The sequence below is a fragment of the Homo sapiens genome, chromosome 9, assembly GCF_000001405.40.
Source record: "Homo sapiens chromosome 9, GRCh38.p14 Primary Assembly".
Classification (NCBI taxonomy): domain Eukaryota; kingdom Metazoa; phylum Chordata; class Mammalia; order Primates; family Hominidae; genus Homo; species Homo sapiens.
The window spans coordinates 19,389,344-19,406,888 of NC_000009.12; positions in this window are offsets into that span (position 1 = coordinate 19,389,344).

Consider the following 17,545-nt stretch of genomic DNA (forward strand, 5'->3'; position numbering starts at 1 on the left):
GATACCATCTCACACCAGTCAGAATGGCTATTATTAAAAAGTGAAAAAACAATAAAAGTTGCTGGCAAGATTGCACAGGAAAAGGAATGCTTATACACTGTTGGTGGGGGTGTAAATTAGTTCAACCACTGTAGAAAACAGTGTGGCGATTCCTCAAAGACTTAAAAACAGAACTACCATTCAACCCAGCAATCCCATTATTGGGTATGTACCCAAAGGAATATAAATCATCTGTCATAAAGACACATGCACACGTATGTTCACTGCAGCACTGTTCACAATAGCAAAGACATTGAATCAACCTAAAGGCCCATCAATGGTAGACTGGATAAAGAAAATGTAGTACATATACACCATGGAATACTATGCAGCCATAAAAAAGAATGAGACCATGTCCTTTGCAGGAATATGAATGGAGCTGGAATATGAATATCCTTATCAAACAAACACAGAAACAGAAAACCAAATACCGCATGTTCCCACTTATAAGAGGGAGCCGAACGATGAGAACACATGGACACATAAGAGGGGAACAACACACACTGGGACCAGTTGGGAGGTGGAGGTTGGGAGGAAGGAGAGGATCAGGAAAAGTAACTAATGGGTATGAGTCTTAATACCTGGGTGATGAAATAATCTGTACAACAAACTCCCATGACACAAGTTTACCTATGTAACAAATATGCGTATGTATTCTTGAACCTAAAATAAAAGTTAAAAAAAAGAAAACAAAAATCAACAAACACTTGAAAACTAAACCACATACTTCTACATGATCTATGCATCAAAAAGGAAGTTTCAAAGGACATTTAAAAATCAGTTGAACTGAATGAAAATAAAAATAAAATCAAAATTTGTGGGACGCAGCTAAAGCAGCACTGAAAGGGAAACTTATAACACTAAATGCATATATTAGAGGAGGCAAAAACCTCAAATCAATAAGCTAACCTCCCACCTCAAGAACCTAGAAAAAGAAGAGTAAAATAAACCAAAACCAAGAAGATGGAAGGAGATAATAAGGTTAAAAGCAGAATAGAATGAAATGGAAAATATCATAGAAAAAAATCAATAAAATAAAGAGCTGATTCTCTGAAAAGATCAATAAACTTCACAAACAACTAGCAAGACTGAAAAAAAAGATGCAAATTGTCAATATCAACAATGAAACAAAATAACCATTACAGGTCCTGCAGACATCAAAGGGATTGTAAAGGAACACTACAAACTCTACACACATAAATGATGTGTGTAGATGGGTATATAGCCATGGAAATGGATGAATTCCTTGAAAACTGCAAATGACCACAACCTCACCCAATATAAAATAGGTAATTTGAATAGCCTTATAACTATTAAGGAAATGTAATTCATAAGTTAAAAGCTGTCCGAAATCTTCAGGCCCAGATGGTTTTCCTGGATAGTTATACCAAATATTTGAAGAGGAATTAAGAGCAATTCCGTACACTCTCTTTCAGAAAATAGAAGAGGAAGGAACACTCAATGAACACATAAAACTAATTTTATGAAGCTAGTATTATTATCTTGATGTCAAAGCCAGATAAAACCAGTACAAAAAAGAAAACTATAGGCTAATACGCTTCATAAATATAGACACAGAAATCTTTAACAAAACATTAGAATATATAATTCAGCAATGTATATAAAGAATTATATACCATGACCACGTGGGTTTTATTCCAGGGATGCAAGTCTTTCTTAATATTAAAATCTCAATCAATGTAATCTGCCACATGAACATAGTAAAGAAGAAAAATCATATCATATCACTAAATGTACAAAAAGCATTTCACAAAATTCAATATCCACTCATGATAAAAACTTTCAGGAAATAGGGAAAGAAAAAAAATCCTCAACCTGATGAGGAGTATCTACAAAAAAACCCACAGTTGATATTATACGTAATGATAAAAGACTGAATGCTTTCCACCTAAGCTCAGGAACAAGGTGAAGATGTCTTTTGTCACCACTCATGGTTATCTACTAAGGAAATTCCAAGGAATCTACAAATTCTTATAAGTAATAAGTGAGTTCAGGAAGATCACAAAATACAAGCTAAAATACAAAAATCAATCATATTTGTAAGCACTAGCTATGAACATGTGAGCACTAATTAAAAATGCAATACAATCAGTCAAGGAAATGAAATCTAATAAAACATGTACATTATTTAAATGATGAAAAGTACACAATGTTAATGAAAGACATCAAAAGATCTAAATTAATGAAGAGACAAACTGTACTCATGGAGTGGAAGTTTCAACACAGTAAAGATATAAATTCTTTTCAAACTGATATATATGTTTAATGCAATTCCCATCAAAATCTCAGGAAAATTCTTTATAGATGTAGACAAGATTATTCTAAAATGTATATGGAAAGGCAAAGGAACTAAAATAGCTAAAAACAATGTTCAAAAAGAAAGTGGAAGGAAACAGTCAACCTGATTTTAAGACTTATTATAGCTGCAGTATAATAAGTCTATAATAATAATATATAATAATTATTATATATATAATAATAATATATATTATAATATTATATATATAATAATATATAATATTATTATATATAATAATATATATAATAATATTATATATATAATAATATATAATATATAATAATAAGACTATATGTTACTGGTAGTGGGACAAATACATAGATACATGAATAAAACAGAGAACCCAGAAGTAGATCCTCACAAATATGTCCACCTGATTTTTTGACATACTTGAAAAAACAGTTCAATGGAGGACAGATAATCTTTCAACAAATGATGCTGAAGCAATGGGACAGCCATAGGGAAAAAAATGAACCTTGACCTAAGTCTCACACATTATACAAAGATTAAACCAAAATGGATTACACACTTAACTGTAAAATGTAAAACTATAAAACTTTTTATTTTATTTTTTTTTATTTTTTTTATTTTATTTTTTTTTTTTTTTTGAGACGGAGTCTCGCTCTGTCGCCCAGGCTGGAGTGCAGTGGCGGGATCTCGGCTCACTGCAAGCTCCGCCTCCCGGGTTCACGCCATTCTCCTGCCTCAGCCTCCCAAGTAGCTGGGACTACAGGCGCCCGCCACTACGCCCGGCTAATTTTTTTTTGTATTTTTAGTAGAGACGGGGTTTCACCGTTTTAGCCGGGATGGTCTCGATCTCCTGACCTCGTGATCCGCCCGCCTCGGCCTCCCAAAGTGCTGGGATTACAGGCGTGAGCCACCGCGCCCGGCCTATTTTTATTTTTTTGATATAGGGTTTCACTCTGTCACCCAGGCTGGGGTGCAGTGGCACGATCTCAGCTCACTGCAACCTCCGCCTTCTGGGTTCAAGCGATTCTCCTGCCTCAACCTCCCAAGTAGCTTGGACTACAGGTGCGTGCCACCACACCTGGCTAATTTTTTGTATTTTTAGTAGAGACGAGGTTTCACCATGTTAGGATGGTCTTGATCTCCTGACCTCGTGATTTGACTGCCTTGGCCTTCCAGAGTGCTGGGATTACAGGCGTGAGTGACCACGCCCAGCCTTAAAACTTTTTTTTTTAAATAGGAGAAGATCTTCTAGATCTAGGGGTAAGCAAAGAATTCTTATTTATTTATTTATTTGAGACAGAGTTTCACTCTTGTTTCCTAGGCTGGAATGCAATGGTGCGATCTTGGCTCACTGCAACCTCCGCCTCCTGGGTTCAAGCGATTCTCCTGCCTCAGCCTCCCAAGTAGCTGGGAATACAAGCACTCACCACCACGCCTGGCTAATTTTTGTATTTTTAGTAGAGACCAGGTTTCACTATATTGGCCAAAACTTAAGTCATAAAAAAAGGAGAAACTGGTAAGTCAGACTTCATCAAAATTAACAAATTTCTTTCTTTCTTTTTTTTTTTTGCTTTTGGATACAGGGTCTCACTCTGTCATCCAGGCTGAATACAGTGGCAGGATCATGGCTCACTGCAGCCCTGACCTCCCAGGTTCAAGTGATCCTCCCACTTTAGCCTCCTGAGTAGCCTGGGACTACTGATGCGCACCACCACACCCAGCTGATTTTTTTTTTTTGTTTTGGTAGATAATGGAGTCTCACTACGTTGCCCAGGCTGGTCACAAACTCCTGGATGCAAACAATCCTCCTGCCTCAACCTCCCAGGGTGCTGGAATTACAAGTGTGAACTACCATGCCCAGCCAACTTTTACTCTTAAAATATCCTGTTAAGAGAATGCAAAGACAAACTACAGAGTGGAAGAAATTATTTGCAAAGCACATATCTGACAAGGGCTAGTATCTAGAATATACAAAAAAAAACCTCATAAAACTCAACAGTAACCTTACTTGGTAAGAAGCATATCAAACTTTTCTTCAGAAAGTATGCAAACAAGAAAAGAATATTCTAAAATATTTAAAGTGTTGAAAGAAAAACCTACCAGCCTAAAATTCTGTATCTAGCAAAATTATCATTCAAAAGTGAAGGAGAAATAGGCCGGGCAAGGTGGCTCACGCCTGTAATCCCAACACTTTGGGAGGCCGAGGCAGGTGGATCACCTGAGGTCAGGAGTTTGAGACCAGCCTGGTCAATATGGTGAAACCCTGTCTGTACTAAAAATATAAAAATTAGCCAGGCGTGATGGTGTGCCGGTACTCCCAGCTACTCGGGAGGTTGAGACAGAAGAATCCCTTGAAGTGGGGAGACGGAGGTTGCAGTGAGCCGAGATCTCACCACTGCACTCCAGCCTGGGTGGCAGAGTGAGACCCTGTCTCAAAAAAAAAAAAAAAAAAAAAAAAAAAGCCAGCTCAGTAGCTCACACCTGTAATACCATGTAATCCCAGCACTTTGGGAGGCCGAGGCAGGCGGATCACGAGGTCAGGAGATGGAGACCATCCTGGCTAACATGGTGAAACCCCGTCTCTACTTAAAAAAAGAATACAAAAAATTACCCGGGCGTCGTGGCGGGCGCCTGTAGTCCCAGGTACTCAGGAGGCTGAGGCAGGAGAATGGCATGAACCTGGGAGGCGGAGCTTGCAAGTGAGCCGAGATCGCGCCACTGCACTCCAGCCTGGGCGACAGAGTGAGACTCCGTCTCAAAAAAAAAAAAAAAAAAAAAAAAAAAAAAGTGAAGGAGAAATGAAAACTTTCTATGCATTAAAAAATGGAGTATACTTGCCTTGCAAGAGATGTTAAAAGAAGTTCTTCAGAGAGAAGGAAAATTATATAGGTCAGAAACTCATATCTAAATAAAGAAAGAGTGCTACAGAAGGAATAAATGAAGCCAAAATAAAACAAACAATCCAATTAGAACATGAGCAAAAGATATGCAGAGAATTTCACTGAAGGAGTTATGCAGAAGGCTACTAAGCACGTGCAAAGATATTCAACATCATTACCTATTGGGGAAACGTATATTAAAACCACAATGAGATATTATTACACAACTATCAGAATGGCTGAGATAAAAAACAGTGACAACACCAAATGTGGGGATGTGGATAAACTAGGAAATCATACGTTGCTGGTGGGAATGTAAAATGGGATATTCACTCTGGAAAACAGTTTGTCAGTATCCTAAAACAATAAACATGGAATTACCATGAAACCCAGCAATTTCACACCTGGACATTTACCTTAGGGAAATGATGAGTTGTATTTACACCAAAACCTATAATGAATGTTGATATGAGCTACTATTTGTAATAGCAAAATGTGAGAAAAAGAAAAAAAACCCAGATGTCGTTTAATGGGTGATGATGGTTAAACAAATTGGTATATCCACACCATGGAATTCTGCTCAGCGATAAACAGCAAGAGCTATTGATATATGCAGTGAATAAATATCCACAGAATTATGCTTAGTGAAAAAAAAAGCCAATTTGCAAGGTTACATTCCATTTGATTCCCTTAATATAGAATTTTCAAAATGACAACATTATAGACACCCAGATCATGCAAATGGACTGATTCCCTTAGGAGAACGAAGACCGTATCTACCTAGAGACTGGAAGAAGACCCTTCTGGGCCTGACAAGAGCAGATAACAATTCTGGCAACAATTGACCCTGGGGTTTCAGCAGGTCCACAGGTGGAAGTTGAGAGTGGGATTTAATCTGGTTGAGTTCATCTTCTGGTAGGAAACCACACAGAACCCAGGAGCACCACCAAGATGGCAGGGGGAGCTGTGTGGCTCAGAGACACTAGGGCCCCATCCTCTTCCTGTTCCTCATTGACTGGCTGGAAAGGTGGACACTAAAAATTCATGACTCGTTTGTACTTAGTTGAAGTATGGAAGGAGATAACATATTATTTAGACTCTCTCCCTCCTTCTCCTTCCTTCCTTCCTTCCTTCCTTCCTTCCTTCCTTCCTTCCTTCCTTCCTTCCTCTCTCTCTCTCTTTCTTCTTTCTTTCTTTCTGATAGTCTTGCTCTTCTCATCCAGGCTGGAGTGCAATGGCGCAATCTCAGCTCACTGCAACCCCCTGCCTTCCGGGTTCAAGCGATTCTCCTGCTTCAGCCTCCTTAGTAGCCGGGATTACAGGTGCACACCACCATGCCCGGCTAATTTTTGTATTTTTAGTAGAGACAGGGTTTCATCATGTTGACAAAGCTGGTCTCGAACTCTTGACCTCAGGTAATCTGCCCGCCTCGGCCTCCCAAAGTGCTGGGAATACAGGTGTGAGCCACCGCACCCGACTACACATATTATTTTCTAAAAATGTCACTAATCCTGTGAAAGACTCATTTGAAATGCTTGCCCTAAAACACATTAATAACTTTTTTGATGTGATGAGAGATCTAAGTACTTGTGTTGTGTTCATTTTGAGAACCATCAAATATTTCTAAGATGAAATTTCTTTGAATTTTCACACTTCAGAGGAGGGTCAAGTGTCTCCTAACTACTGTATCATTTGTTCCCCAAGCTGCATTTTTTTTTTTTTTGAGATGGAGTCTTGCTCTGTCGCCCAGGCTGGAGTGCAGTGGCACAATCTCGGCTTACTGCAAGCTCCGCCTCCTGGGTTCACACCATTCTCCTGCCTCAGCCTCCCAAGTAGCTGGGACGACAGGCGCCCGCCACTGCGCCCGGCTAATTTTTTGTATTTTTAGTAGAGGCGGAGTTTTACCATGTTAGCCAGGATGGTCTCGAACTCCTGTCGTGATCTGCCCGCCTCGGCCTCCCAAAGTGCTGGGATTACAGGTGTGAGCCACTGCGCCCGATGAGAAAGATTAAAGATCTTTTTCATGGCTTCTTGGTGGCTGGCCTGCAACTTTCCTGGCAATGACTGCCCCTATTGAACATACGACATTTCAGATCCTTACCTTTATGTGTTATGATTAGAGAATGAAGGGTGAGCTCACTGGTCCTTATCTTTTCCACTGCCTTTAAGGCCCTGACATACTTAACCCCCTCCTTTTCAGTAGACAATATTTTCTCCCACTTCTTTCAGAAATATGAACTGCTTTATCTTCTCTCATCCTCAAAACGTGTCAAGGTATTCATATCTATCACTCTCTACATTCCCCTCTTTCTTAGCACAGGGTTCTGTTAGGACATTTGATTTTAAGTCACATAAACCCAACTCCAACTAGCTTAAACAAAAATGTGACTTTACTATAAAGTTTCCAGGGTATCTTGGGAAACTTTGTATGTGGTTGGATCCTGGGCATATAGCTGGAGCTAGGGACTCCTTACCACCTCTTTCTATACAGCCTTCTTTGGGACAGCATCATTATTCTCTCTACTGTTAACTAGTTCTGCTTGCCCAGCCATCTGGTGGCATAGGCCACCAATAGTGCCCAGGTTTATATCTCCATTTCGTCAGTCAACCATGTGGAACTGGAAGAGCTCGATTCTGATTTGAAATTCCCACAAATGCATTCTGATTAGCCAGCTTAGATCACGACTCACTCCTGGACCAATGAACGTTAGCCACAGAGTCAGGTCACAGTGTATACCATGGTTGTTCTTATGGTAGCCATCTGAACGGAGTTGGGGGTTGGGGGAAGGTGGGAGGTGGGCTGTCCTCATTGAATAAGAAGAAGCAGAAGGTCTTGGAAAAGGAAGAGATGCCAGGAGAGACAGAACAATACTTGGCTACTCCATGCCATCCCTTCTCTTCAGGCAAAATGAAAGATCTTGAACTTTCAATTCTATCTCTTCTCATCTTCTTCAGGATTTAGTTTAATTAATTACCCTTTTATATTTTTTGTTTTTTTTTAACACTAGATTATACTGCAATAAGTTACGCTTTTTTCTTTTTACATTTTGAATATTTCTACTCAAGCTCCTTTTCTTTAGGCTTACATTTGCTCAAGAATCTCTTATACCAAAGGAGCATCCCATAACCTGTCTTCAAGCTCCGGCCCAATCTATGTACCTTTTTTTTTCTGCCATGTAAATGTCATCTGCCCCATATCACACTTTGCCCCAACCTGGCCTTCTCCCTCTTCATTTCCTTCTTCAATGCCACCTCCATTTTCCCAGAGTGTTTTTTGGTTTCTGAAAGGCTGAACACAGGCAGAGTGAGGGAAGGATGAAGTCTACAGGCCATTGTGATGCAGCCCTTCCAGCAGGTGTGACAGGTAGTCTCTGATGTGCCACTGCCCACTCCCTCAGAGCCCGGCCCCAAGAGGCCCCTTAGATTGTAGAGCATAACACTGACCAGTCTCTGACCTTTCTAGCTTCCTGGTTCCAAAGAGTCTGTGGCCACAGTATCACCTGCACCACACCCACACAGCTGATAATCAGCTTATTTACCAAAGTTTCCCTGGGAACAAGGACCTTCTCATGAAGAGAGAGGGTGGGTGCCCTCTTGGAGAGGTTGTTTGCTATTTGCTCCCTCACAGGGGTAACCTCCCATTGCCAGTCCTGTGCCCTCTGGAATGAAGAGGAAAGGTAACAACCACAGGCTGGGCCAGAACTGCTTTATTTTTTTGAGACAGAGTCTTGCTCTCTCACCCAGGCTGGAGTGCAGTGGTGCGATCTCAGCTCGCTGCAACCTCTGCCTCCCAGGTTCAAGCAATTCTCCTGCTTCAGCCTCCCCAGTAGCTGGAACTACAGGCACGTGCCACCAAGCCTGGCTAATTTTTGTATTTTTAGTAGAGAGGGGCTTTCATCATGTTGGCCAGGCTGGTCTTGAACTCCTGACGTCAAGTGATCCACCCACCTCAGCCTCCCAAAGTATTTAGATTACAGGTGTAAGCCACCATGCCCGGCCAGAACTGCTTTCTTAAGGGTACCCATAGGTAAAGGCCAAGCCCTCGCCCTCACTCGCCAACTTGTGTTCTCGCAGCTCTCGGCTATGTTGGTGCTTGTGGGGACAATCACGTGAAGCCCTTTGCTTCTTTGGTTTAAAAAAAAAAAAATCTCTTGTTTTTTTGAGATGCAGTTTTGCTCTTGTTGCCCAGGCTAGAGTACAATGGTGTGATCTCGGCTCACCACAACCTCTGCCTCCCGGGTTCAAGCGATTCTCCTGCCTCAGCCTCCTGAGTAGCTGAGATTACAGACTTGTGCCACCACACCCAGCTAATTTTTGTATTTTTAATAGACGGGGTTTCTCCCTGTTGGTCAGGCTGGTCTCAAACTCCCAACCTCAGGTGATCTGCCCGCCTCGGCCTCCCAAAGTGCTGGGATTACAGGTGTGAGCTACCATGCCCGGCCAAAATAAAACTCTTTTATTATGAAAATTTTAAAACAGGTACAGAGTAGAGAGACTAGTTTAATGTGTTTACCACCCACTTTTCACAATTATCCATTTGAGGCCAATGTTGCTCTGTCTATACCCCCATAGTGACACTCTCCTCCTTTATTTCAAAGCAAATCCTAGATCATATACTTTATGGGTAAATATTTCAGTATGTATCTCTAAACAACAACTTTCCTTTTTTGTTTCTCTCCTTTTTTGTTTCTTTTTGGCTTTGCTCAAGTTTATTATTGAGGTATGATTTACATGCTGTAAGTTGCCCTTTTTAGGTTAATTTTGAGGTTTTATAAACTCATTCAGCCATAAAACCATCACAATCAGGATATAGAACAGTTCTGTCACCTCCCCAAATTCCCCTATATCCCTTTGAGTGAATTCCCCCCCAACCCCCATGCAACTACACAACTGTTTTCTAGTCCTATAGTTTTCTATTTTTCAGAATGTCATAAAAATAGAACATCCTACAGTCTGTAGTCCTTTGAAATGTCACTTTTAAAAACATAACCATTATACTGTGATCACTTCACCCCCAATCAATAATTCTCTAATATCAGATATCACATTTCCACAACTGTCCTAAGAAGTATTTTTTTACAAACTGATTTAAGACCTACATCTACACATTGCAATTGGTTGTTTTGTCTCTCAAGTCTCTTTTAATCTATAGGTTTCCTCTCCATCTTTTGTTTTGTTTTGTTTAAGAAATTGGGCTGTCACAGTTTCTCATAATCTGGATTTTTATCAACTGCATCTGCATGTTGTCATTTCTTCTGTTCTCTATAGTCTTGCTATTAAAATATGGTCCATGGACCAGCAGCATCTGCATCACCTGAGAGTTTGTTAGAAATGCATAATCTTGGACCCCACTCAAGACCTATTGAATCAGAATCTGCATTTTTAACATTCAACAAGATCTATGGCTGGGCATGGTGGCTCATGCCTGGAATCCCAGCACTTTGGGAGGCCGAGGCGGGTTCACCTGAGGTCAGGAGTTTGAGACCAGCCTGGCCCACATGGGGAAACCCCATCTCTACTAAAAACACAAAAATTAGCTGAGTGTGGTGCATGCCTGTAATCCCAGCTACTCAGGAGGCTGAGGCAGGAGAATCCTTTGAACCTGGGGGGCAGAGGTTGCAGTGAGCCAAGATTGTGCCATTGCACTCCAGCCTGGGTGACAGAACAAGACTCTGTCTCAAAAAAAAAAAAAGATCTCCACCTGATTCTGTCCCTGTAAAATGGCACTGAGACCTAGTGTGTTGATCTGGTTTAGGTTGGTTGGTTTGTGGGTTTTTTTTGGCAAGCCTATATGGGTGGCATTGCACCCCTTATTTCTCAGCCCTTCCCACCTGGTCCTCTCTAGGTCTCTCTGACTGCTCCTGCTCCTTGTCAGCCAGGACCTGTGTCTCCTCATAACTCAGGCTTCTGTAAATGTAAGTGTGTCCAAGGAGATACATTCCACATACTACCCCCAGACCTCCATTCTCTTTGTCTAGTATGGCTTTCAGGTATCTCGTCTAACCTCCTGATTTACAAATCTCCTCTCTAATCCTGACCTGTCCATGGTCTCCTAACTTGCCTTTTCAGTTGCCAAGAGAATATCTCTTCCCAGATATTCTTGCTGCTAATACTAATTCTCACTAGCCTGCACCTTTAACTCAACAAGTCAAAACATAAATCACTGCTTTCCCTTCTATTTTCCCTTTTGGATTAGTAAATTATTTTCTGATCACTCAGCCTAGACTATTTGAAGCTGTCTTCTATTTTTTCCGCTCTTTCATGTCTGATCTCTAATCAGTAGTTTAGTTTTATTAATCCTCCTGTATTTGTCAGCCCTCATTACATTATGCTGGGGTAAGAGAAAATCCCTCCAAATCTCAGTGGTTTGCAGCACAAAGTTGTTTTTTTTTTTGTTTTTTTTTTTTGAGACGGAGTCTCACTCTGTCGCCCAGGCTGGAGGGCAGTGGTGGGATTTCGGCTCACTGCAAGCTCTGCCTCCTGGGTTCACACAATTCTCCTGCCTCAGCCTCCCGAGTAGCTGGGACTAAAGGCACCCACCACCATGCCCGGCTAATTTTTTGTATTTTTAGTAGAGACGGGGTTTCACTGTGTTAGCCAGGATGGGCTCAATCTCCTGACCTTGTGATCCACCCGCCTCAGCCTCCCAAAGTGCTGGGATTACAGGCATGAGCCACCACGCCCAGCCAACAATGCAAAGTTTTATTTTTTGTTAAAGTTATATGTTGGCTGTAGGTTGACTGAAGGTCTGGTCTTTTTCATTCCAGGATCTAGGCTGAAGAGCAGCCCCAATTTGGGATACAGCAGAGGGAATAAAAAGGAATGGTAAAACTAGGAATAGCTTTCAAAGTTCAGTCATGGTGTAAATCAGTTCCATGGCTGATCTGGTTTGGGTGTCTCCCCACCCAAATCTCATCTTGAATTCCCATGTGTTGTGGGAGGGACCTGGTGGGAGGTAATTGAATCATTGGGGCAGGTCTTTTCCATGCTGCTCTTGTGATAGTAAGTCTCACGAGATCTGATGGTTATTATAAGTTGGAGTTTTCCTGCACAAGCTCCCTTTTTGCCTGCTGCCATCCATGTAAGATGTGACTTGCTGCTCCTTGCCTTCTGCCATGATTGTGAGGCCTCACCAGCCATGTGGAACTGTGGGTCCAATAAACCTTTTTCTTCTGTAAATTGCCCAGTCTCAGATATGTCTTTATCAGCAGTGTGAAAATGGACGAATACAATGATCATAGCAAATGACAAAGCCAAGTCTCATATTCATTGACTGAGAAAGTATGTTCAAATATCTGGAATCAATAGTATAATCTATCACAATTGCCATTTTGTATTTCAATTGCATCCCTTATTTCAATTCTCTTTACCCCTGCCTTAAACTTCACTTCTCTCAGCTTCCTCAAGGAAGCCTTCTCTGATGCCCTCAGACTAGGCCACATCTACTGCTATTGGCTGTTGTGGAATTTATACTTCTCCTTCATGACACACGTGAGACAACTGCAATTATTTATGCACTTATTTAATTTCTGACAGCCCCTAGACTGAAAGCTCTGTGAGGGCAGAGACAGTGTCTGTTTTGCTCATTATTTAACCCTTGGCAGCTAGAAAAGTATCTGGCATAGAGCAGCATGTAAAGGAATGAATGATTGCCTTAGTCATGCCCATATCATCCTTCACCTGGTTTACTGAAAGGCCTTACCAGTAGTTTTGGAAATCTAATTTATTTTTCTGCCATCAGGATTTTCTTTCTTAAAGACTTACTCTTGGCTGGGCGTGGTGGCTCACACATGTAATCTCAGAACTTTGGGAGGCTGAGGTGGGCAGATCATTTGAGATCGGGAGTTGCAGACCAGCCTAGCCAACATGGTGAAACCTCATCTCTACTAAAAGTACAAAAATTAGCTGGGTGTGGTGGTATGTACCTGTAATCCCAGCTACCTACTTGGGAGGCTAAGGGGGAGGATCGCTTGAACCCTCCAGCCTGGGTGACAGTGAGAATCCATCTCAAAAACAAAACAAAACAAAACAAAAAGACTTACTCTTTATATCATCTATTGGTTTTCTAGGTCAGGTTGTGCTGAAGTTTCCTGAATGTGTATGCTTTCTCAGACCTCTATCCTTTTGCATGGGCTGTTCCTTCTGTAGGATTCCCTCCCTCCCCCCAGTGCTCTGCCTGGTAAAATCCTGTTCATCTTTTAACTTCAGTTCCGAGGCTACCTCCTCTGCAAAACGTCCCATGACTCTCAGTGCAGACTTGGGCCCCTGCCCTTCTGCTTCCACATATGCACCTCCATTTTAGCAATTATCATGTTTCATTCTAAACCCAACATTGTGGTTTTCTAGCGCAGATTAGAAAAAGGAGAGTGTTGTGGGAAGTGAGGGACCCCGAATAGAGGGACTGGCTGGAGCCACGGCAGAGGAAACATAAATTGTGAAGATTTTATGGACATTTATCACTTCCCTAATAATACTCTTATAATTTTTTATGCTTGTCTTACTTTAATCTCTTAATCCTGTTATCTTCATAAGCTGAGGATGTACGTCATCTCAGGACCCTGTGATGATTGCGTTAACTGTACAATTTGATTATAAAATGTGTGTTTGAACAATATGAAATCAGTGCACCTTGAAAATGAACAGAATAACAGTGATTTTAGGGAACAAGGGAAGACAACCATAAGGTCTGACTGCCTGTGGGGTTGGGCAAAAAGCCATATTTTTCTTCTTCCAGAGAGCCTATAAACAGACATGCAAGTAGGAGAGATAGCAGTAAATTCTTTTTCTAGCAAGGAATATTAAGACCCTAGGAAAAGAATTGCATTCCTTTGGGGAGGCCTATAAACGGCCGCTCTGGGAGTGTCTGTCTTATGTGGTTGAGATAAGGACTGAAATACGCCCTGATCTCCTGCAGTACCCTCAGGCTTATTAGGGTGGGGAAAAAACTGCTCCCTGGTAAATTTGAGGTCAGACTGGTTCTCTGCTCTGGAGCCCTGTTTTCTGTTGTTTAAGATGTTTATCAAGACAATACGTGCACAGCTGAACAGAGACCTTTATCAGGAGTTTTTGATTTTGCCCTTTGCCTTGTGATCTTTATTGGCCTCAGAAGCATGTGATCTTTGTTCTCCTTTTTGTGCTTTGAAACATGTGGTCTTTGTGACCTACTCCCTGTTCGTACACCCCCTCCCCTTTTGAAATCCTTAATAAAAGTTGCTGGTTTTGCGGCTCAGGTGGGCATCACGGACCTACTGATATGTGATGTCACCCCCGGTGGCCCAGCTGTAAAATTCCTCTCTTTGTAGTCTTTCTCTTTATTTCTCAGACCAGCCGACACTTAGGGAAAATAGAAAGAACCTATGTTGAAATATTGGGGGTGGGTTCCCCTGATAGGATAGAGGTTAACATTGTGGTTTTCCAGTGCAGGTTAGAAAAAGGAGAGAGGGAACAGCAGAGTGGTGCAGTGGAAGCATACCTATGGGCCCATAACCCAGAGGTTGATGGATGGAAACCATCCTCTGCTAGCTTTGTGATCTTGGCTGGGTGTGGCTGCTCACACCTGTAATCCCAGCACTTTGGGATGCCAAGGTGGGAGGCTCACTTGAGACTAGCCTGGGCAACATAGCAAGACACCGTCTCCATAAAAAGGAAAACAAAAACAAACAAACACACACACACACAAGAGAGGCATTTCTAAATAGAGGCCTGCTGACAACAGCAGAATTTACCACTGATGGCCTGTCAGTAAAGGAGCGGTGCCTGTCCCAGCTAACACAAGCACCTTCTGCAGTGGCTGCAGCAGTGTTTCCCTAGTGAGGACCTACTTCCTACAACTCTCATCTACAAGTCTGAGCCTGAAAACGACCTCAGATTTTAGCAAAACAAGCACAGTCTTGCTGGCTTCTTCTGTTTTCCTCTGAGTTGAAGGGGTCCAGGGCAGACTCAGAGCCCCTGGTTTCCTCATCATGAGCCTGAGCATGAGTCAGAATCACCTGAGGGCTTATGAAGCCAAAGGTTGCTGGGCTCTATCCAGAGTTTCTGATCCAATAGTTCTAGGGTGGGGACTGGAACTCACATTCGTAAAAGATTCCCAGGGGATGCTGCTGCTGCTGGGCTGGCCTTAACCACTGGCTTAACAATGGGCCACAAGCAGGACCACAGTGAAAAACTCTAGTCAAACAGGAAGATACAGAAAACTTCATCCTTGATCAGGCACTTCTTGCTTCATTTACACAGGTGCCTGCATTTTTTACCCAAGGGAAGACTTTGTGACTTGATAATTTCCACTTGTGGAACCAGTTGAACTGGATATTTACTATCAGATATTTACTTATACCAAATAAACATTGTTATACACTATGTAAAAATAGAAGGTGCTGTCATTCTGAATTCCTTGCAAGGGCTGTTCCTTCAAACTTGCTCCCTTGTGGATCTGTATCACTGAGTCATGTAGGCCAAAAGCATCGTAAGCCAAATAGTTGGAACTCAGTAGTTCTGTTCCTTGCTGTCACTGCATCCTTCCCTCAACAAACTTAGTTTAGAGTAGACATCAGAATTTTGTATTCAACCACTAGCAGTAGTTTCTAAGGCATCATGCAATTAATATAAATCAATTTTAAAATTTATAACCTCCTGATAGGCCCTCTTGTTAAATTACCAATGTTGTATTTATTTTAAAAATGTTGGCTGGATGCAATGGCTCACTCCTATAATCCTAGCACTTTGGGAGGCTCAAGGGATCACTTGAACCTGGGAGTTTGAGACCAGCCTGGGCAACATGATGAAACCTTGTCTCTACAAAACATACAACATTTAGCTGGGCATTGTGGTGCACCCTTGTGGTCCTAGCTACTCATGAGGCTGAGGTGGGAGGGTCGCTTGAGTCTGGGGTGGGGGGGTCAAGGTTGCAGTGAGCTGAAATTGCACCATTGCACACCAACCAGGGTAACAGAGGGTTACCCTGTCTCAAAAAAAAAAAAAAAAGTTAACAATGTTAACAATGGGGAGAGCTATGAAAACAAAATTTTAGAGACAGTGTGACTCAAGTACGGTTTCTGTGCAGTTGTAATTAGAAGGAACCAATGTGGCTGACTGATTTTGAACTACAATTGTCACTGACAATAAGAGTTACTGTGGAGGATGAAAAACTCCCATCATTCCCTTAGCAAGACTTGGAAAGAAGGATGAATTACATTCAGCAAATTTAATATTTCACTGGTGCTAAAACTCACATTGTTTTGCGTTGTTAAATCTCTGAAATCCTGATGCATTTTACCAAGAATGGCATTTTATGATTATGGTTGGCTAGGTCATGGTTGTGATGTGGTGTCACTGCCTGCATATGTACAGACTTGGTGGTTATTCCTGGTGGGATGACTTGGCAACTGTAATCTCCATGTTTCTCTCAACAGATTATATAAGGACCATCTGGAAAAGAAACATGCTGCCTGTTGTCTGGAAACCTTCCACTGACACCTTCAGGTAAGATCAGGAGAGTCCCAGCATCAAAATTTGTAAAACAGGTGTCAGTAGTTTGCAAGAAAACAGTAGTGGAATAGTTTTAAGAAATGCTGCATTATTAGCACATAGTAATTAAGGACACAGAGGACATTTCTATATGAATGACACAGACATCAATGACTATAAGCTGAAAAATGACTCAGAAGAACAGAGATTCTGAATGTAAAGAAATTACAGGAATTCTTTAATGAATTTATTTTTGCTTATACCTTCCTTCTTAGGTATGCACAAGAGATGTATGATAACAATGTAAGTCTAAGTCTGTGCTTGTTCACTAAAAATTCTAAATGATAAAAAAGTATTACAAATAGTTTAATTGGAAATATTTCTTTTTTTTTTTTTTTTTTTTGAGATGGAGTCTCGCTCTGTTGCCCAAGCTGGAGTGCAGCGGCGCGATCTTGGCTCACTGCAACCTCTGCCCCCTGGGTTCAAGCGATTCTTCTGCCTCAGCCTCCCGCATAGCTGGAGGTGCCCACCATCATGCCCTGCTAATTTTTGTATTTTAATAGAGACGGGGTTTTGCCAAGTTCACCAGGCTGGTCCCGAACTCCAGACCTCAGAAGAGCTGCCTGCTTTGGCCTCCCAAAGTGCTGGGATTACAGGCATGAGCCACTGCATCCGGCCAGGAACATCTTTTTAACAGCAACTTTCAATCTTTTTAGTCTGAGGACCCCTTTACACTCTTAAAAAATATTGAGAACACCAGAGAACTTGTGGTTTATATGGTAACATCAATAGTTACCGCATTAGAAATTTAAACAGACTTTTAATACCAAAGAATCACAAGCACATATTCCATTAGCTGTCGGAGAGATAATGA